This window comes from Homo sapiens, chromosome 11 (assembly GCF_000001405.40).
Source record: "Homo sapiens chromosome 11, GRCh38.p14 Primary Assembly".
Classification (NCBI taxonomy): domain Eukaryota; kingdom Metazoa; phylum Chordata; class Mammalia; order Primates; family Hominidae; genus Homo; species Homo sapiens.
The window spans coordinates 71,382,958-71,404,720 of NC_000011.10; the positions used below are offsets into that span (position 1 = coordinate 71,382,958).

General features: G+C 52.0%; 5 annotated features.

Annotated features, from left to right (window-relative positions):
* Positions 6,058 to 6,559: an enhancer, noted in NCBI's record as "H3K4me1 hESC enhancer chr11:71100061-71100562 (GRCh37/hg19 assembly coordinates)". NCBI's record gives its function as "activates a minimal SCP1, AML or CMV promoter by ChIP-STARR-seq in naive H9 embryonic stem cells {active_cell/tissue: H9 hESC(naive)}" and the evidence as "EXISTENCE:reporter gene assay evidence [ECO:0000049][PMID:30033119]".
* Positions 6,560 to 7,059: an enhancer, noted in NCBI's record as "H3K4me1 hESC enhancer chr11:71100563-71101062 (GRCh37/hg19 assembly coordinates)". NCBI's record gives its function as "activates a minimal SCP1, AML or CMV promoter by ChIP-STARR-seq in naive H9 embryonic stem cells {active_cell/tissue: H9 hESC(naive)}" and the evidence as "EXISTENCE:reporter gene assay evidence [ECO:0000049][PMID:30033119]".
* Positions 13,585 to 14,286: an enhancer, noted in NCBI's record as "H3K4me1 hESC enhancer chr11:71107588-71108289 (GRCh37/hg19 assembly coordinates)". NCBI's record gives its function as "activates a minimal SCP1, AML or CMV promoter by ChIP-STARR-seq in primed H9 embryonic stem cells {active_cell/tissue: H9 hESC(primed)}" and the evidence as "EXISTENCE:reporter gene assay evidence [ECO:0000049][PMID:30033119]".
* Positions 16,668 to 17,511: an enhancer, noted in NCBI's record as "H3K4me1 hESC enhancer chr11:71110671-71111514 (GRCh37/hg19 assembly coordinates)". NCBI's record gives its function as "activates a minimal SCP1, AML or CMV promoter by ChIP-STARR-seq in naive H9 embryonic stem cells {active_cell/tissue: H9 hESC(naive)}" and the evidence as "EXISTENCE:reporter gene assay evidence [ECO:0000049][PMID:30033119]".
* Positions 19,577 to 20,077: an enhancer, noted in NCBI's record as "H3K4me1 hESC enhancer chr11:71113580-71114080 (GRCh37/hg19 assembly coordinates)". NCBI's record gives its function as "activates a minimal SCP1, AML or CMV promoter by ChIP-STARR-seq in naive H9 embryonic stem cells {active_cell/tissue: H9 hESC(naive)}" and the evidence as "EXISTENCE:reporter gene assay evidence [ECO:0000049][PMID:30033119]".

Sequence of the window (21,763 nt, forward strand, 5' to 3'; positions counted from 1 at the left end):
ATGCCTACTTCCTGTAGCTTTATTTTTTTTTTTTTATTTTTAGAGACAGGGTCTCTCTGTGTTGCCCAGGCTGGAGTACAGTAGCACAATCACAGTTCACTGCAGCCTTGACCTCCCAGGATCAAGCAATCCTCCAGCCTCAGACTCCCAAGTAGCTGGGTCCACAGGTGCGCACTACCACACCTGGCTAATATTTTAATTTTTTTTGTAGAGATGAGGTCTTGCTACGTTGCCCACGCTGGCCTCAAATTCATGGCCTCAAGCAATCCTCCTGCCTCGGCCTCCCAAAGTGCTGAGATTACAGGTGTGAGCCACCATGCCCGGCCTGTAGCTTTAAACAATTAGATAAAATGAATAAGAGCACAGAGGACTCGTACACTTGGCATTTTAAAACATGCAACACATTTTATCCATATAGAATGACGGTGCCTAAGGCATAGGTAGGTATTTTGTAGAAAAATTCGAAAATACAGATAAGCAAAATCAACCAATCACCAGTCATTAAACCCCCTGGAGAAATTCCTTCTAGATTGTGATGGGGAGCTTTCAAGATTTCCTCTCTCTATTGCTAGGCTCCTCTTTTCATGACCACACCTATAAAGTGTATATTTCTTTCCATTTCTATTTTAAGAGAGAAAGTAGTGTTTCTTATACCAAGTCAGGTCACCTCTGGGCTAGGAGGAAGTGAAAGTCTCTACAGCCATTTGTCACTGATCCAGGTGACAGCCCCTTGGTGGAAGAGGCTCCCAGGTGCCTGGCATTGGTCCTTTCTCTGCCTGATGCAGGGGGCCAGGCATGGTGGTGTGCACCTGTGGCCCCAGCTTCTTGAGAGGCTGAGGCTGGAGGATTGCTTGATCCTGGGAGGTCGAGGCTTCAGTGAACTGTGATTGTGCTGCTGTACTCCAGCCTGGGCAAAAGAGCCAGACCCTGTTTCAAAAAATGAAAATAAAGGCCGGGCATGGTGGTTCATTCCTGTAATCCCAGCACTTTGGGAAGCCAAGGCAGGCAGATCACCTGGGGTCAGGAGTTTGAGACCTCCCTGGCCAACATGGTGAAACCCCGTCTCTACTAAAAATACAAAAAATTAGCCAGGCATGGTGGTGGGTGCCTGTAGTCCCAGCTACTCAGGAGGCTGAGGCAGGAGAATTGCTTGAGCCTGGGAGGAGGAGGTTGCAGTGAGCCAAGATGGCACCATTGCACTCTCGCCTGGGCGACAAGAGTGAAACTCCATCTCAAAAAATAGATAAATAAAATAAAAAATAAATAATTAAAAAGAGGCCCCTGGGGCTCAGGAAGTTTAAGGTCACTCGCTCCAGGTCAGACACTTGTCATTTTCACACATTCACTAACTTTCTTTAAGGCACTTAGGTAGATAATAACAGGACATGCTTAGGATTCTAAGACATGGAGCAAATGCCTCGCTGCAGGGATCTGCAGGCACGAAGCGCTGAATGGAGATTTGGGAAACCCAAGGCTTAGGTGAGAGGGAAGGAAGAGTGGTTCCCCGACTCAACTGCCCAGTGTCTCCCGGCTCTGTCACACCACAGAATGGCGCTTGGCTTGGAAACCACTTGCTGGCATTGGTTAAGAAAAGATTTATCATTATAGCTAAAAAAATAAAAATAAAAAGGAAGAGTCAGGAGGGGGGAAAAAAAGGCATGGTTAGGATCAGGGCATCAGGCAGAGAAAGGGCCGACGCAGGCACCCGGGAGCCTCTTCCACGGAGGGGCTGTCACCTCAATCAGTTGATGACCTCATCTGCGTCTTATCTAAACAAACACACAAAACCAGATGGAGACTGGGATGGTGTGTGTGTTAAGAAGAAAGTAAATTGGCCAGGTGCAGTGGCTCATGCCTATGATCCCAACACTTTGGGAGGCCGGGGCAGGTGGATCAACTGAGGTCAAGAGTTCCAGATCAGCCTGGCCAACATGGCGAAACTCCATCTCTACTAAAAATACCAAGATTAGCTGGGCGTGGTTGTGGGCACCTGTAATCCCAGCTACTCGGGAGGCTGAGGGAGGGAGAATCACTTGAACTGGGAGGCAGAGGTTGCAGTGAGCCCAGATTGCGCTACTGCACTCCAGCCTGGGTGGCAGAGTGAGACTCCGTCCCAAAAAAAAAAAAAAAAAACGAAGAAGATAGCAAATCACTAACAGAAGATGGCCAAAGGATTGGATTGAACAATTACGAGAAATATGTTTACAAAAAAAAAAAAAAAAAAAAACAGAGAAAAGAACAACAAACATTTCTTCTCCATCTACCCAGGTGCCCAGGGGTTTTGAGAACAAAGGACACTGTGCTGGCGTGGACGTGGTCCAGAGCTGGCTCAGCCCTCGCCGGGACAGATGGGAGCCTCAGTGTTTCTGTGGGCAATTGGGTCATCCATTCAAAAAGCCTCAAATTGTGCATGATTCTGACTCCAAAATCCACATCTAGAAATGGATCTAAGGGTAAAATAACATTCTGAAGAAATAAGGGGGAATAATGGGCAGAGTTTTAGCTCAAGAACATTTATTACAGCAGATTTAGGCTGCTGGGAGAAACAATTATTTGAAAAGTTGCCCCCATTGAAACGAGCTGTTCTCTCAAGGTGGATGATGAACTCATTTCAGGGAGAGGATTTTCTTTAGGCAACAATTTAATGAGCTTTATGGATGCTTACAGGAGAATCTACCACTGTACCTCTTTCAGAGATGGCTTAGATGGAGAGAAATTATGCAGAGAAGAGCTAAATCACTGCCAAGTAATGGGAAATGGGCGATGTCATCATCAAGCTTCATGGAGAGTTTTTGGCGGGAGGAGGCAGTGGAGGGCACCTTGAGGACTCAGAAGGATGAAAGGGCTTGGACCAAATGCAACCCAGCCACATGCTGGCAGGACAGAGATGGCCCAAAGATCCCCTTTGCAAATGTGGTCAAGAAACCTATAAAAGTATGCCAGGCATGGTGGCTTGCACATAATCCCAGCACTTTGGGAGGCTGAGGTAAGTGGATCACTTGAGCCCAGAGTCCAAGACCTGAACCAAAAAAAATTAGCCGGGCATGGAGGCACACGCCTGTAGTCCCAGCTACTTGGGAGGCTGAGTGGGAGGATCACCTGAGCCTGCAGTGAGCCGTGACCATGCCACTGTTCTCCAGCCTGGGTGACAGTGAGACATTGTCTTATTTAAAAAAAAAAAAAAAGGAAAGAGAAAAAAAGGAAGTTATGAAAGTATGATATTCAATTTTAATTTGTTTTCCATGCTGGGCTAAGCAGTAGCCTTCTGTTCTGATTCAGTCAAAGTTCATTACACACAAGAGCCTGGAGTCGTCCAGAAAGCTGAGAGGAGGGAGACCAGAAACAGGCTATGAAGTGACAGCCAAGGGCTTTGGAGTGAGAAGGTGGGAGGGGTGATGGTTTTAATAGAATGTAAATGCCTATGATATAACATAAGATGGTCTAACGAGAGCTGCAGACTTAGGGAGGAAGGAAACGGATAACAGTTTTACAGCATCCCATGAATGTTTATGGCCTACAGGAAGAGGGCTGAAGACTTGGGAAGTGACAAGGCAGTAGGAAGATATTTTGTGTAATCCTGGCTGATGCATTTGTAATTCCTGATGCTTGTCTGTTGCTACGGAGGAGGGTTAGGGACCACCTGGGACAGGCACCACTGCTGTGCATTCTCTTTCAAATCTCACCCTGGTCTATAGAGCAAGGACAGGAAGGGTACAGGGAACACTGTCAGATGGGCAAGGAGAGTCTCAGAGGCAGCTGAAGATGCTCTGAGGACACGTTCCAGACCCTTCCCTCTGAGCGCATCTGCCTGCAACCAGATCTGAGGCCCCTAGGGTTGGGGGTGAGAGTGATGGGTGATAGGGTGATATAATCTTCGAGAAAAGTTTGGGGGGCTGTGGGCAAAAGGGAGTAAGTCCTTGCCTCCTGCCTGTAGACTCTGGAGGAAGTCACCTTGCAGTGTCCTGTTCCAAAGCTGGCGGCTGGAGTGGAGGGGACAAGGGCAGTAAGACAGGTCTAGGGAGGACAAGAAGTGCTGAGATGGCCACTCACGCCCCTGCCCACCCTGGTGTCTGGAAGGTCCCGCCCCCCTGCCCCGCCCACACGGAGCATACAAAGGGTGGCTGTGAACCCTGGTGACAGGCCCGAGGGGAGTGATGGTGTCCCTCTGGTGAGAGTCTGTTGTGCACCTGCAGGAGACCCCATTACAGAGCGCCCTACAACTGGCCTGTGGGATTTGCAGCCAGCTCAAGGGCCAGCTGGTGAGATGGGAAGGATTCAGGGCCAGCTCGACAGGGATGCCCTGCAGTGACAGCCCCCAAAGACCCCACATCAGAGGCTGTGAGGCCTCTGACACAGAGGAAGCCAGAGAAAGTGTCCACTGGGGACAAACCTGGGTGGGGCTCCCACGGGGGAAGAGTGCTTTCATTTAACCAAGGGAGGCTGCATTCATGGGACAGCTGCTGAGCTCAACTGGAAATGAGTGAGTGACATTGCCCCTCCTGCCCCAGCCAGCCAGGCCAGGTGTGTCCCACATCCCAGCAGTCCCAACATCCTGACAGTCCCACATCCCAGCAATCCCGACATCCTGACAGTCCCACATACCAGCAGTCCCTACATCCTGACAGTCCCACATACCAGCAGCCCCGACATCCTGACAGTCCCACACACCAGCAATCCTGACATCCTGACAGTCCCAACATCCCAACAGTCCCAACATCGCAACACTCCCAACATCCCAACAGTCCCAACATTCTCACAGTCCCAACATCCCAACAGTCCTGACATCCTGACAGTCCCAACATCCCAACAGTCCTGATATTCCAACAGTCCCCGACATCCTGACTGTTCTGACATTCCAACAGTCCCGACGTGCTGACAGTCACAACATCCCAACAGTCCTGACATTCCAACAGTCCTGACATCCCAAGAGTCCCGACGTCCTGATAGTCCCAACATCCCAACAGTCCCAACATTCCGACAGTCCCAACATCCTGACAGTCCCGACATTCTGACAGTCCCGATATTCCAACAGTCCCGACATTCCGACAGTCCCGACATTCTGATAGTACTGACATCCCAACAGTCCTGACATTCCAACAGTCCCGACAACCCAACAGTCCCAACATCCCTACAGTCCTGACATTCCAACAGTCCTGACATCCCAACAGTCCCAACATCCCTACAGTCCCGACATTCCAACAGTCCTGACATCCCAACAGTCCCAACATCCCTACAGTCCCGATATCTGACAGTCCCAACATCCCGATAGTACTGACATTCCAACAATCCTGACATCCCAACAGTCCCAACATCCCAACAGTCCCAACATCCCGACAGTCTCAACATCCCAGCAGTCCCGACATCCAAACAGTCCCAACAGTCCAACAGTCCCAACATCCCAACAGTCCCAACATCCCAACAGTTCCAATATCCCAACAGTCCCAACATCCCGACAGTCTCAACATCCCAGCAGTCCCGACATCCAAAGAGTCCCAACATTCCAACAGCTCCAACATCCCAACAGTCCCGACATCCAAACAATCCCGACATTCCAACAGTCCCAACATTCCAACAGTCCCGACATCCCAACAGTCCCAATATTCCAACAGCCCCAACATTCCAACAGTCCCGACATCCTGACAGTCCTGACATCTCAGCAGTCCCCAAATCCTGGCAGTCCTAACATTCTGACAGTCCCAATGTCCTGACAGTCCCAACATCCCAACAGTCCTAATGTCCTGACTGTCCACACCTTGTGTCCCTATGACATCTACTCTCTGCACAGGAGCCTGAGCAGTTCTCCAGAGCCTACTTGGACAATGTCTCTCCTCTGCTGAACCCTGCCGGGGGTTTCCAGCCCCTCTTGGAATGGATGTCCTTCTGCGGCATCTCTGACCTTGCTTTCCTGTTGCCTTTGCTCACTCGGCCCCAGCCAACCCCTCCTTGCCCTTCCTCCAGGAAGCAAGCCTCTGAGCCACTGCATGGGCTGTTCCCCCCATGGCTGAATGTTCTTCCCTAGATATCCACATGGCTCACCCTTACCTCAAGTGCTTACCCAATGTCCTCTTCTTGAGGAGGCCCACTCTGGCCCACCTTGTATTCAGCACCCCCGGCCCTGCCCACACTCCCTCCCACCCCGTCCTTTGCTGCACTTTCCCCATGGATCACAGCCCTCCTGACATGCCACTCATGTCCCCTTCATGTTTATTCATGACGTTTATTGCTTCCCCCGGCAACTAGAGTGAAAGCTCCAAAGACTTCCCAGAAGGACTTCCCAGGTGCCAGGAGCCGTGCCTGGCGTATCTGATGCGTTCAAGGTACATCTGTGGAATGAATTTGAAGCGCTCCCAGAGGGGATGGGTTGGGGAAGCCTCACCTTCACATAAACTGTAGGGGACACCAGCTCAGATATTTCTCTCTGCATCCGGAATCGCAAGCCGGGGCAGGAGCCCGTCCCTCCGGACAGTAGCATGTGGCCAAAGAGAACCTTCTGGAGGTCGGGGTTGCAGGAAGTGATGCTCTGGATGGCCTTCGTGTGGATGCCAGGGGTGTTTTTCCCTGTCAGGACAGGCAGAGGGAGAAAGAATGTTGGAAGCCAGAGGCTTGGCGGCTGCACACCTGGGCCCCTGCCTCCCAGCGGAAGGCCTTGGGTGCTGGAAACCTCCCTGAGCCTTAGGTAACACCCAGCAAGGTAGGCAAACCTTAGCTTAGCTGGGCTCCCATCAGGGAATGCAGGGAGCCACCCGGTCAGATGACAGGACTCAGCTGCTCCTGGTTGAGGAAATAAATAGGAATTCTCCACTCTCCTCCAGGAGAATTTATATTCAACTGTTATTGACAGTTCTTAACATGTAATGCCTTGATATCAATTGTATAAAAAGATTCCTGTCGAGGCAGCATCCTCCTTCAGGCAGTCTTTGAGAAATGACACTGATCCCTCCTTTCTTGGCTCATCATTTGGCCACATGAATAAACTCAAATATAATGAGAACTGCCCTGAAGAGATGTGTGCCTTGTATTACTAGGTTGGTGCAAATGTAATCGATTACTTTTGCACCAACCTAATATTTTCTGTTCAAAATTGTGAGCCCCTGGGAAGGCTGCGTGGTGCCTTCCGTGCCTCTTGCCTGTGAGGAAAAATTGCCGAATAACCTTGGACTCATGACAAAAGGCTAACCCCAAGGGGCATTTAAGAGAGGCCCAGCAGAAAGGCCCTGCTAGTTTCACCGATCTGGGGTGGTGCTCCTGTTCACTGGGACCCAGCCAGACCCCGGGGAGAACTTCCCCACAGTGGGTGAAGAACCTCAATTTCTTCTCTACTTCACATTGGTGGTGCACGTGACCAGACCATCCCCTGCACAGTTGAAGAGAGGAACACAGAGATAAACCAACTAACTTACAGAAGATTCTAAGTGCCAGGTACTCACTGAGTCCTCAACCTGGGGAAATGGTTACTTCCCCACCCTTAATTCCCCGTTGTCCTTTATGAAGGTAACAAATGAAGAATTGGACTCCGGGGAACACCTGCTTTTCCATGTCGACCAGGGAGATTCCATCTTCCCCACCAGTAGGGATTTCACCCTCTGTCATTTCTCCCGTTCCACCAGGACAAATGTACCAGCTGAAGCGTTTAGGCAGCTCCATGCTAACTCAAAGTCTCTAGATCAGCCACATTTGTAAAGCTCCCTCCAAATCCAGGGTGATTACATGTCTGTCTTAAATTGTATTGAAATTTATATTTCAGATTATTTTGTAAGTAGGCAGAGTACAAACAATACATTTTGAAAGAGAAGACCTTTTTGGTGAGTTTCCTTCTCTGTAAAATGGGATAATTTTACAGAGGTGGATTTGGGGGTGGATTCAAGGATATAACACTCGCAATGGTCAGTGAAGTGACAGGCAGACTGTAAGTGCCTAGTGAGTGTTAGCTGGTGTCAGAGGAGCTTTTGAAACAGTGTGCCTGTTTGCTACTCAAACCACACCCCCTCCTGGCAGCCCTACTTCCCTTCCTTCCTTCCTTCCTTCCTTCCTTCCTTCCTTCCTTCCTTCCTTCCTTCCCTCCTTCCTTCCTTGCTGTCCTTCTTTTTTTCAGATGGAGTCTCGCTCTATTGCCCAGGCTGGAGCACAGTGGTGCAATCTCGGCTCACTGCAACCCCCACCTCCCAGGTTCAAGCGATTCCCCTGCCTCAGCCTCCTGAGTAGCTGGGACTACAGGCAATATGCCACCCTGCCTGGCTAATTTTTGTATTTTTAGTAGAGACGGGATTTCACCATGTTGGCCAGGCTGGTCTCAAACTCCTGACCTCAGGTGATCCACCCGCCTCAGCTTCCGAAAGTGCTGGGATTACAGGCGTGAGGCACCATGCCTGGCCCCTTCTTCCTTACAGGGTGTTCGCTTGCTCATGTCCAGGCTAATTTCTGTCCCCTTCCTGCGGATTCACCTATGAGTTTTGACTAGAAGAGCACCTCGGGGCAGAAGAAGCTCTCCTGCCCAACGGTGATCTCTTGGCCATCAGGCAGCTGATATTTCTGTTGGCATGAAGGTGAATCAGTTTTCATCTTTTCCTTGTCAAAGTCCAAAGCCACATAGCAGCATTTCTCCTTCATGTCCCGGATGTACTCTCGATCCCCTGTGGGACAAAGGAAAAGTGCCAAACAGAAAAAGGCATGAAAATGAGATGAGTTCACAGAAGCACCTTTGGTGAGGTTGAGGCTGCACCACTGGAGCTGTCATTTCTATTTCCATTTCACACTCCTGGCACTCTTGTTTGTGCCATGTGTTGAGCCTGAGTTTGTGGAAGAGTAGAATAAGTATGTCTTGAACTAAGATAAAAGGGATTAGGAAATTTCAGCGTTTCAGAAGTTGATCTCCTTCTACATACAGTGTATGTTTGGGGGAGGGTGGGGGGGAGCTGGAAAAGCAAACCCGACTTTCTTATCTACTGCTATGAGCGGTGCTGTTGGTGCCCCATCCCCCAGCTGCCGCCTGCTCACAGCTGCCCTCTTCTCTGGAGAATTGCCCACAGTGGATCAAAATCCCCACCCAGAAATATCTGGAAGGTTACATACACTCCTTCTCTTTTTGGATGGCTGACAACAGGCTTTAAACCCAGCTGTGTCTTCTCGCTTATGGTTTTACACTTTTTCTATCACTCTTTTTGAGTTGGATCGGGGAACTCTGCACCGCCCACCTGGAAATGTCACTTGCTCTTCAGCACCCTGACGTCTGCCTTCTACCTTCACTCGCTCCACCTAACCTGCTGTTGCCTGGGTCTGTTCTGTACTCCTAGATCCAAAAACCTGAGGACACTCTTTGGTTCTTTCCTGACCTCTTTCCCTCGGCAGCTGAGGTTATTAATCACTCCCTTCTTTCCTCGGCTTCTGGGATGCTGCACTCTCCTGATATTTGTTCCTTTCTTCATGTAGTTGGGGCTTTGATGAGGCAAATTTGGGTTCAAATCCCATCTCTGCCATTGACCCAATGCCTGGCTTTAGGAAACTTCATTAACCTCTTAAACCTTCCCTTCCCTTATCTGCAAGAATGGGATAAATGATCATTCGCAGGACTGTTGGAAGGACGAGAGGCAACGATGCTCACCAAGAGCTCACCAGGTGTGAGGCATCAATAACATGCTATGACTTTGCCCTGCAACCCTTCTCACTTTCCCTCTAATTGCTGTTATTCTTTAAGATTCCATGCTTTGCATCGCTTTTGACACAGACCTCTTGGTCTTCAAGGAAGACCCTGGGATGCAAGATTGTAGGCTCACTGGGAATGGGTGTCATGCAGGTTATACAGGCTGGGAATCTAGTCCAGGAACTGGGTGCAGAGAAGGACAGGCACCTTACCTGGAGCCTTGGGTTCATATCCCAGCTGCTATACCATTTATCATTTATGGAATGTTGGGCAAATCTTCTAATAGCCTTCCTGAGCCTCTTCCTGTTATTATTAGTTTTTTAAGAGACAGGGTGTTGCTTTGCTCTGTTACCCAGGCTGGCATACAGTAGTATCATCAGAGCTCACTATAACCTCTGACTCCTGGGCTCAAGTGGTCCTCTTGCCTCAGTCTCCTAAGTAGCTGGGACTACAGGTTGCTCATCACCACACCCTGCTAATTTTTTAATCTTTTTGTAGAGACCGGGTCTTGCCGTGTTGCCCAGGCTGATCGCAAACTCCTAGGCTCAAGTGATCCTCCCACCCCAGCCTCCCAAATTGCTGGGATTACAGATATGAGACATTGCACCTGGCTGCATCTTCCTCTTGTAATGGAAATAATTGTTCCCTCTCGTAGGGTTATAGTGAGAAGCAATGAGAAAATGCATGTGAAATGTTTACTTGGCCTGGTGCTTTCTACAGGATAAGTTCTCTATAAAGTTTAGCTCATCATCATCTTAACAACTGTCATCATAACTATCATCACCATCACCATCATTACCACCACCACCATCATCACAATCATTGTTACCATTACTATAACCATCATCATCACCATCACCATCATTGTCATCATCACCATCACCACCACCATCATCACCATCACCACCAATCACCATATGACCATCACCATCACCATCATCAGCATCACTGTCATCACCATCATGGTCACCATCACTATCACCGTCATTGCCACCACCATAATCGTTATCATCATTATCATTGTCCTTATCATCATCATCAATCCACTAAATGTCCCTAAATATAAATAAAGTTGTTTTTAGAACTTGAATGATGGTTAAGTAGTCTTAGCTTTACACACTGAGGGCTGTAGGTTGAGCTAGCAAAGAAGGCTATTATACCCCAGAGACTAGTTTACCCAGCCAAGAATAGCAATTTCCTACCTGTGCCCACCAATAATTGCACATTGTCTTTCAACAGTTGCAGGAGGTACGAGGTTAGGTCCTGGCCCGCTATGTCCACCTGGAAGGTTGACTGATGCAAAGGACAGCCATCAGCGATGGGCACGAAGTGTGTCATTCCTTCTCCAGATTCAACAGTCATGCCTAGACAAGAGAACATGCTGGTACCATAATGCAAAGCCAATGACATCCCTTACAATTGTTATATCTGCAGTGAGAGAAGGCAGAGGGGAGCTAACAGAGGAGAAGACAAAGATTCTCAGGAGCCAGCTTTCTTCCCCGAAAGGGGAGTGCACAAGAAGGAACAAAAGGGCTGGCTGTTGTGGATGGTGGCCCACAAGTTTTCTTATGACACCACACATGCAGGTTTCACAGTAGTGGTCCAAAAGGTAGAAGAGGAAAAATCATACCAGGATTTTTTTTCCTTTTATTGTTTTAATTGACAAATAATACTTACACAGTACTTATACTGTATACAAATGCCCATAGCAGCTTTTTTTTTTTTTTTTTTTTTTTTTTTTTTTTTGAGACGGAGTCTTGCACTGTTACCCAGGCTGGAGTGCAGTGGCATGATCTGGGCTCACTGCAAGCTCTGCCTCCCAGGTTCATGCCATTCTCCTGCCTCAGCCTCCTGAGTCGCTGGGACTACAGGTGCCCACCACCATACCTGGCTAATCTTTTGTACTTTTAGTATAGACGGGATTTCACCGTGTTAGCCAGGATGGCCTTGATCTCCTGACCTCGTGATCCGCCCACCTCGGCCTCCCAAAGTGCTGGGATTACAGGCGTGAGCCACTGCACCCGGCCCATAGCAGCTTTATTTACAATAGCCCCAAACCGACAACTCAAATATTCGTTCACAAGTGGATAAAGTACAATGTATTCATAAGATGGGCTACTATCCAGCAATGAGAAGACATGAACTCTCAACCCACACACAAGAATAAATCTTCAAGTAATTACACTGTGTGAAAAAAAAAAAAAAAAGAAACCCCAAAAAAGTGCTGACCTTCTGGTCCATTCATACAAAATTCTAGAAAATGCAGACTCCAAGGCAGCTGGTGGCTCTCTGGGGACAGACTGGAGGGGCAGACTGTGTGGTGCCAGGGAAAAGATTAGGGGTGACAGATACATTCATTATCTTGGTTCTGAAGGCTTCAAGAGTAGACACATGTGTCAAAACTTAGCAAATTGTACACTTTAAACACATGCAATTTATCGTATATCAATTACACCTCGAGAAAGCTATTAAGAAAAAAAAGTGAGTAAAGTAAACTGTTAAAACCTGGGAGCGAATCATTTAACCAGGAGGGATGAAAGGGTCTGGAGAGTGCGAGCTGTGTGGGTCTTTGTCTTTCGTTACTGGTCAGGGAGGGAGTGGGCTGCGCGCAGTGGTGAGCGTCTCAGCCGGAGGGAGGCGGAGGCTATGGGGCTCCCACAGGGCTACTCACCGAAGGTCTGGCCAGAGGCGTACAGAGAAAGGACTCCTCGGTTAGCTAAATACAGGGCAGGTATGTTGAAAATCTCAAACAGCACCTAGGGAGAAACATCAGCCACCCCTGGCAGCCAGGCCCGCAGATGAGGTGGGCTTCTCCTTAACTACCCAGGCAACATGAGTACCGCCTGCAAGAGGCACTTGGTTCCCTGCACCACCCAAGAGAGACCCAGACCATGGACACAGAAACACATTCCTCCTTATCCCAGCTTTGCTCCGATGAGCTCCGGGACACTCTCAGTTTCCCAGTCTGTAAAATAGACCCATACCCATCCCAGCCACCTCTTAGGACTGTGGGGAGACTTGGATTAGATGGCAGACTCCCTACAGATGGGCTCCTGGGTATGGGGGCTGTCCGTGGATGTCTGGTACCTGGCTCAGGATGATTAGGACAGGTGCACAGTGGCCCCAGGGTGTGAAGTACTGGGGTGTGGACACTGGGAGCAGCCCAGAGTTCAGGGAAGGGCCTGGCCTGGCAGCAGGACCCCTGGGTTCTAGGCCTGGCTCTTACAGCATGTGTGACCTTGGGAGACAACTGCTCCTCGCTATGCCTCAGTTTCCTCATCAGAAGGAGAGTAGTGGTACCTCCCTGGGGATGGTGCTGAGGACAACATGAGTTAACACCCGTAAAGCCCGTGCCACAGTGCTTAGTGTATACTGAGCATTCCACAAATGCCATCACTTGCTGGTCCCAGGCCTCAGTTTTCTCATCTGTAAAATGGGAATCGGACCATAGGGAAGGACCGTGAAGACCATGTGAGCTCTGTAACCTTCTGGCCCCACAGCAGGCCCACGGAAGTCAAGGCTGGCTTTTGTCTTTGTGGGAATTTTTTGAGGCCTGCTGGGGCTGGGTGCGGGATGGAGAGTTCAAAGCAGGGCCCACAGATGTAGAAATATCCCTTTGCCCACAGTGAGGAGAAGCCCCACGCGGGTGGGCTAGCAGTTGCCTGTGGCCTGCAGAAGCCCCCGCCTTCCTCATGATGTCTGTCCTGGGCTCCTCTTTCTTGGGTCACCCATCAGGTTCTGCCCACAGGGCCCCAGAAGGAGATCCAGGGAGGGGAGGGGAGGGCTTGCTGACGTCCCAGCTCCCTCCCTGCTGGGTCCCTCTTCTGAAGGCCACAGCGCCTGGGCGACAGCCCTCCCTGGGAACTGATAACCATCCACTGCTCTTTCAGGCTTAGGGGTGGTAGCAGCTGCCCCGGGACACCCCTGGATACCGCACGCTCTCATGGGGCTTTTTTCTAAAACTCACGCTCACCTTTGTGTATAATCTCTTTATGACACTCTCACTAAACATGCCCCATGTGAGTGTACCTTTGACTTCCTGCTGGGTCCCTGATACAGTTAGAGGGTGAATTTGGAGAGGACCAGGGCAGAAAGGCAGGCAGTGCACCCAGCAGGTGGGAAGCCACAGAGGCAGGCTGGATGCCAACCGCACGGCTGGAGCCCTGGCTCATCCCACAGGCCAACGGCACCCAGCCGCGGGGCGCCTGGGGTTTCGCCAGGTGTTCTTCAGCGTGTGTCTGTGGGGTGTCTCTGAGTGAGACCAACACGTGGATCAGGGGATGCGTAAAGCAGACAGCCCTCCTGGATGTGGGTGGGCCTCATCCAATCAGTTGCAGACCTGATTCCATCAAAAGGACAGAGTAAGAGGTAGCCCCTCCGGCCCAACTGCCTGCACCCAGACACCAACCCTTTCCTGCCTTCAGACTGGGAGTGGACATTGGCTCTTCCTGGGTCTAGACCCCGCCGGCCTCCAGACTGGAGCCACAGCACGGGCCCTCCTGGGGCTCTAGCTTCCCAACCGCAGAGCCTGGAACTTGCCGGCCTCCGTCACTGTGTGAGCCAGGCCCTCATCCTGAACCCCTCTCCGTGTCTACGCTCATCCCACTCTTCTGTGTCTCCAGAGAACTTTGCTGCCCCCGCCGGGGAGTGAGATGTCCCCTGTGGAGAGGGCCGCCCCACTCCTTCTCCAGCTCCCCACCGCCTCACGGGCACTCGACAGTCTGAAAGTAGGAGCCTGCTGCGCCCCAACCAGGCAGCCCAGCTGTGGCCTACTCCTGTGATCCACCTCTCCACAAGCCGAGGAGGACTCAAGGGTCCGCTCAGGGCTTTTTCTCAAATGAGGTGGCAGCTCATGCCTGCACTGTGATGGATAGAGCTGCCATTTCTGGGCCGCCGTGTGTGCCTCTGCAGGGAGCAGGTGGCGCCTTGAGCCCTGGGTCTGTCTGTGGGTCACGGCTCACTGCGGGAGACACCGCTGGGCTCCAGGGACCCTGGGCCAGGTGGTGGAACTGTGCTGCTTGCTTAATGAGCTCACCAAATGTCCTCATTAGGAGCAGCTAATGATGTGATGGGAACATGGTAGCCAGCGGCAGCCCAGCAGCCCCCACCCCAGCCTTAAGGAGAGTGCCACACCTTCCTCTCTTCTCCAGCCTGGGCCCCTGCCAGGCCCCACTGCCCAGCCCCATCAGGGCCACCCTGTCAACACACACCAGTGCCTCCTGCCTGGTGGGCAGGCCCAAGAGGAAGCTCAGAGAAGAGACCCAGGAGCTTTTAAACCAGAATCAGAGGCCGGAGTCAGACCTGCATCTAGGACAACTGAATTGTGGCTGAGAGTGGAGTTTCAGGGCGAGACCACTGGGGTCTAGGCAAGCACGCCAGCGACACTCCGCATGACCTTAGCCAAATTGCTTAAGCTCCCTGCTGCCGCAGGCTCTTCATATGTACAAAGGGGAGGATGGTCCTCTGCCCCATGGCTGGTTGGGAGGCCTGCATGAAGTCACATGTATGCAGTGTCCGGCCCCTGGCCAGCACCCCGGCGGAGGCCGGCATGCTTGGCGTGAGTGTCGAGGGGGTGTCCCCTGACCAGCGTCCTCCTCTTGCCGAGCAAGGAGCAGGTGAGGCCGAGGTTGCCCCTCGCTCAGGGGAGACCAGATACTGACCCCCTGAGGCCCTCACCACCACTGGCCCCGGTACCTGTGTGACTTTCTCTTTGCTGGGTGTTGGGTTCAAAGACGGCTCCGTCACCAACATGGGGTACTGCTCTGGGGCGACGTGGAGCACCTGGTAGAAGGAGTGGTGCCAAATCTGGGAGAAGACGGGATACAGAGTCAGCAGCTTCCTGGGGCCAAGGCCAGACTTCTGCAAACGGGGCAGGGCATGGCTGCAGGACCAGGCAAGGCTTTAGGTTTTGTTATTTTATGTTATCTTATTTTATGTTATTTGTTTGACAAAGCAGTATTTTATTTTTATTTTACTATTTCTATTTTTCCAAGACAGAGTCTCGCTCTGTCGCCCAGGCTGGAGTGTAGTGGCACGATCTCGGCGGCTCACTGCAACCTCCAACTCCCCGGTTCAAGTGATTCTCCTGCCTCAGCCTCCCAAGTAGCTGGGACTGCAGGTGCATGCCACCACGTCCAGCTAATTTTTGTATTTTCAGTTGAGACAGGGTTTTGCCATGTTGGCCAGGCTGGTCTTGAACTCCTGACCTCAGATTATCCACCCACCTCAGCCTCCCAAAGTGCTGGGATAACAGGTGTGAGCCACTGTAGCCAGCCGTCAAAGCAGCATCGTAAATAGCACTTGTGATGGCTGAGTGACAGAGAGGTCATCCTGATCTGAGGGAGCATCAGGGAGACAGCGTGGCTTCAGCAAGATGCAGAACCGCCACTCGGTCACCAGGCCTGGGGCTAGGATGTGGGGCTGAGACCAGTGAGGCCCAGAGCTTGGCTAGAGCATCTCGTGGCCTGATGTGGTCGGATACCACCACCAGGACTTCAAGGGTGTGATACAAACTGGGGGCTCAGACGGGTGGATGCTGCATAGGGAGAGAGTGCAGGTGTGAGCCCAGTATGAACGGAAGCTCCACCGCACACCAGGCCAGCCCCGGACAAGCAACCTGATTCTGTTGAACCTCATTCCTCATCCTCAAAACAGGAAATGTTCCCTGCCTCACAGAGGAGTGTGACAGTGAAATGGTGGCCTCGCCGAGAAGTCTGGTGCATTCATGTCCCACGGTTGCCATCACAAAGCCCCAGAGACAGGGCACCTCGCACCGCAGACACTCATCGTCTCCCATTCTGGAGGCTGGAGTCCCAGATGAAGGCGCCGCAGGGCTGGTCCCTCCCAAGGCCTCTGTCCTCGGCCTGCAGGCACTGTCTTCTTCTGGCTGTGTCCTCACAGGGTCCCCCACTGTGTGTCTGCATCCAACTTCCTCTTCTGATAAGGCCCCAGTCACATTGGATTAGGGCCCACCCTAATGATGTCTTCTTAACCTAGTTGCCGCTTTAAAGCTGCTATCTCCAAGCACAGTCACACTCTGAGGCATTGGAGGCTAGGATTTCACATGTAAATGTTGGGGGACACAATTCAGCCCCTCACACCCAGTACAGTAGGGGCTCAGTACACCATGGTTGGTTATCAGGTGTGAGTCGGCTGCCTGTCCCTGTGGGGGGACGTGCCCCTGGGGGAGGGCAGTGTGGAGGGGCGGCCTCCTGCAGGCAGGCACAGGACCTGGAAGCATGAGGCCACAATCCCTGTGAAAGAGCAAGAGCCAGGCATCAGCTGCAGGTGTGGCCCATCCTTAGATGACCAGCCTGAGGCAGGGAAGGGACACAGCCAGACATGAGCTTGGAAGAGTCTCCTGAAGACAGGGCGGGGTGATGAGAGGGAGGAGGTGGGAGACATGGGCACAGAGGAGGGTCAGTGTGTGATGCTGGCAATTCAGGAAAGATGGTGAAGCCAGGAGCCAGGACCCCTGAAGCCATGCAGGACCCAGAGCCTTGGGCTCCCTCAGGCAGGTGAGCCCCCCACAAGGCAGCAGACGGCGGGGGACCCCTGGGGCCCATAGCTGAAGCTGTGCTCTCCAAGACCTGTCTACACGGCCCGTGTTTCTGCATTCCCGTCACATTGGGAGCCACAGCCACAGCTGTGCAGGAAAAAACACTTGTGAACGGTGTTACCACTGCCCCTGCCAAGATGGCCCCATGGCCCTCAGGCCCTGGAAGTCACGCCCTGTGCAGACCTTTCCTACATGGAATCAGGACTGGCTTGTGTGACCAACAGAATGTGGCAGAAGTAACAGTGCGACGGCCCGGGCTGTGCCACGGTGGCCTGGTGCCTCCACCTTGGCCTTTTCCATAGTTCCCCATGGGGGAAGCCAATCGCCAGGCTGGCAAGAAGTTGAACAGCCCTGGAGGGAGACCCCCATGCAGAGGAAGCACCCCACGGCCACCTGATACTGCCGCCTTGGAAGGGGCTTCTCCAGCCCCAGTCAAGCCTGCAGCCAACACAGCCCCTGAGCTGTGGCAGCCACTTGAGACCCCGAGCCAGAACCAGCCTGAGGAGTCACTCCCAGATTCCTGACCCACAAAACTGAGAGTGATGACCATTGGCATTTTGAGCCTCTGCATTTGGGGCTAATGTGTGAAGGCAGCATTAGAACATTGTGATCAGTTGAATTGTGTCGCCCCAAAATTCATATTTTGAAGTCTTAGCCCCCGTACGTCTGAATGGGACCTTATTTGGAAACAGGGTTGTTGCAGATGCCATCACTTAAGAGGAGGCTGGGTCCCCAATCCCATAGGAAGGAGAAAATGTGGACACAGACACAGACAATGCCACGTGAACCTGAAGGCAGACATCGGGGTGACACATCTGTGAGCCAAGGGGAGCCAAAGACTGACAGCCACCAGGGGAGAGGCCCAGGACACAGGCTCCGGCACGGCCCTGCAAGGAACCAGCTCGGCCCACACCTTGACCTTGGACTTCCAGCCTCCAGGATGGTGAGGTAATGAATTCCTGCTATTGAAGCTGCCTCGTCTGTGGCTGGGACAGGGACACAGTAACTAACAGGTACATCCTCTAAGGCAGTGCACGGCCTGTCCAAATGCACATGGAGGTCCTAGCCAGAACTTCAGTTACTAAGTGAGGGAGCTGCAAGTTCACCATACTTACCACTTCTTAGTGTTTGGGACTGAAGACTTTTTTGCCATTTGTTTGTCTGCTTTGAGACAGGGTCTCCTTCTGTTGCCCAGGCTGGAGCACAAGGACACAATTGGAGCTCACTGCAGCCTCCACCTCCCAGGCTCAAGCAATCCTCCCACCTCAGCCTCCCCAGTAGCTGGGACCACAGTGGCACACCACCACAGCCAGATTATTTTTTAATTTTTTGTAGACATGGATTCTCACTATGTTTCCCAGGTTGGACTCAAACTCCTGCACTCAAGCTGTCCACCTGCCTCGGCCTCCAAAAGTGCTGGAATTACAGGCATGAGCCACTGTGCCTGGCCAGGACTGAGGACTTTTTATCCATCATCTCCCTCAGCCCTCACAGCAGGGTCTGTGTTAGGAAGGCCTGCACCTCTGTCTCATAGCTGGACCTAGCTAGGGAGGCCTATGAACACGTCCTGCCTGGCAGAAGCTGTACCCACCTTCTCCATGTTGTCCCAGTTGGTTGTTATTGCCCGAGAAATGGGGTATTGCAGGTTGAGTTTCCCTCATTTTTTCTGAACCTCCTCTCCAATGAACCAGTCTTCCTCTTCCATCCCCACCAATACATTCTGAAAGACACAGGCCAGGACAGATCAGCTTCTAGGGGTGACTGGGGTTGGACTCCCCTGCAGCTGGCTTTCATTTGTGGAGACCCAGTGAGCAGTGGCTGGGAGGCCACAGTGGCCTTCGTGGGAGACTCCAAGCCACAGCACGGGCATCCACGACCTCCCCGAGCCCTGTGAGCTATTTCAGAAATGGCCACTAAGAGGTTTTAGCAAAGTACCTGCAAGGTAAGAGTGTGCCCGAGGAGTCATTCCTAGGATATTTGTCCTGTCCACTTCGTAGATGAGGAAATGGGACAGCAAGGAGAGAGGCTGCTGAGGAAGGAGAGGTGAGGGGAGATGCACCAGGAATGCCACGGTGCTGCTAGAGGATCAAGTCAATTAAGCCCACCGGCAGGAATGCATTTCATAAGCTGACATCGTGGTAGGAGGGATTGTCACTGCTTCCACATTTGCTTCGGAAGGTTGACCGGGAAAGGGTCTGTGATGTAATTCAACTTCTGTTATTTTTTTAGGAAGATAAACCTGGCTACTTTCATGGCAGATTAAGCCATCTGTTCCATCATTCAGAGGTGATTTTACTTGATGGCCCATGTGTTCATCTGGGTCCACTGAGAAACAGACACCAGGATGGAATGAAAGGTGCAAGAATGTGATTAGGGAATACGCACACATTGGGGACAGTGGGGAGACAGCAGGACAAAGATCGAAGAGACAACAGGCTGCTGTCCAAGTCTGAGCCTGGGTGCAGGGAACAGGGAAGCAGATTGGGTGGGTGACCTTAGCCACCATGCCGTCTAAGGGAATGGAACCTTTGCAAGGTTGTTGGAGAGTTCTTGAGCCAGGCTCATTTATCACAGGAGTGCTGGGTTTCCCAAAAATGGGCTTGACTTGCCTTGGTGTCACTGCCATCCTCAGTCATTGGCTGGGAGAAGCAGGTAGGAAGGATGGCCTCAGTGCAATGGTGCTGTGCCACAGTGACTTAATGGTGCCATGCTGCAATGAGGCCATGGTGCCACAGTGCAGTGACGTCATGGTGCCACGGTGCAATGACATCATGGTGCCATGCTGCAGTGACATAATGGTGCCGTGCTGCAATGAGGCCATGGTGCCATGGTGCAGTGACGTTATAGTGCCATGGTGCAGTGACGTCATGGTGCCACGGTGCAATGACGTCATGGTGCCATGCTGCAGTGACATAATGGTGCCATGCTACGATGACGCCATGGTGCTGTGCTGCAACGACGTCGTGTTGCTGTGCTGCAGTAACATAATGGTGCCATGCTGCAGTGACCTCGTGGTGCCACGGTGCAGTGACGTTATAGTGCCATGGTGCAATGATGTCATGGTGCCATGGTGCAATGGTGCATGTGGTGGAACAACCATGCCATGGTGCAGTGGCTCAACAGTGCCATGATGCCGGGTGCAAGAGTGCAATGGTGCAGAGATGCAATGGAGCAGTGATTTCAGAGTGAGGCCCCTTCTCCAGGCAGCCACAGCTCACCTGCTCAGAGCTTTTCTATCTTAGGAGTTTGTCTCTTCAGCAGAAGAGGTTTGGATTTGGGATGAGAATCACCAGCTATGAGACCTGGGGAAAGTCGTGTCCCTTCTCTGAGCCTCCATCTTCTTCTCTGAGCCTCCATCTCCTTCTTGGAGGCTCCATCTCTTCTCTGAGCCTCCATCTTCTTCTCTGAGCCTCCATCTCCTTCTTGGAGCCTCCATCTCCTTCTCTGAGCCTCCATCTTCTTCTCTGAGCCTCCATCTCCTTCTTGGAGCCTCCATCTCCTTCTCTGAGCCTCCATCTTCTTCTCTGAGCCTCTGTCTCCCTCTCTGAGCCTCCGTCTCCTTCTCAGAGCCTCCGTCTCCTTCTCGGAGCCTCCGTCTCCTTCTCAGAGCCTCCATCTCCTTCTCTGGGCCTCCATCTTCTTCTCTGGGCCTCTATCTCCTTCTCTGAGCCTCCATCTCCTTCTCTGAGCCTCCATCTTCTTCTCTGAGCCTCCATCTCCCTCTCTGAGCCTCCATCTCCTTCTCTGAGCCTCCATCTCCCTCTCTGAGCCTCCATCTCCCTCTCTGAGCCTCCATCTTCTTCTCGGAGCCTCCATCTCCTTCTCTGAGCCTCCATCTTCTTCTCTGAGCCTCCATCTCCCTCTCGGAGACTCCATCTCCGTCTCTGAGCCTCCATCTTCTTCTCTGAGCTTCCATCTCCCTCTCAGAGACTCCATATCCCTCTCAGAGCCTCCATCTCCCTCTCTGAGCCTCCATCTCCTTCTCTGAGCCTCCATTTCCTTCTCTGAGCCTCCATCTCCTTCTCGGAGCCTCCATCTCCCTCTCAGAGCCTCCATCTCCTTCTCTGAGCCTCCATCTTCTTCTCTGAGCCTCTATCTTCTTCCCTGTCCAGTGGGAACAATGACCTCTCTTCCTCACACCTCGCCATGGCGCTGCTGGAGGATCAAGTCAATTAAGCCCACCAGCAGGAATGCATTTCATAAGCTGACATCATGGTAGGAGGGATTGTCACTGCTGCCACCTCCTCGAACGTTTCTCAGCCACCCACATCTAAGTGTGGTGGGTAGGCGGTGGGGGAGGGACAAAGTCATGGGTGTGCAGAAGGAACAATGTTTTCTCCAGTTCGAAGTTGCTGTTTGAGATAAAAAGATGGACAGTGCTGGGCCTGGTGTCCTTTCGTCAGGAGGCCTGTGGGTCAGAGCGGCTGCTCTACTTGGAAGCAACCCAATGACTTTGGGCAATGCCTTCATCCTGCCTCTCTGTTCTCACAAGTCCTCCTACGAGGGGTCTCACTGCCATCTTGGCTGCCAGACTTAAGCCTTGGAAGGGGCGTGAGGGTGGCGGAGCC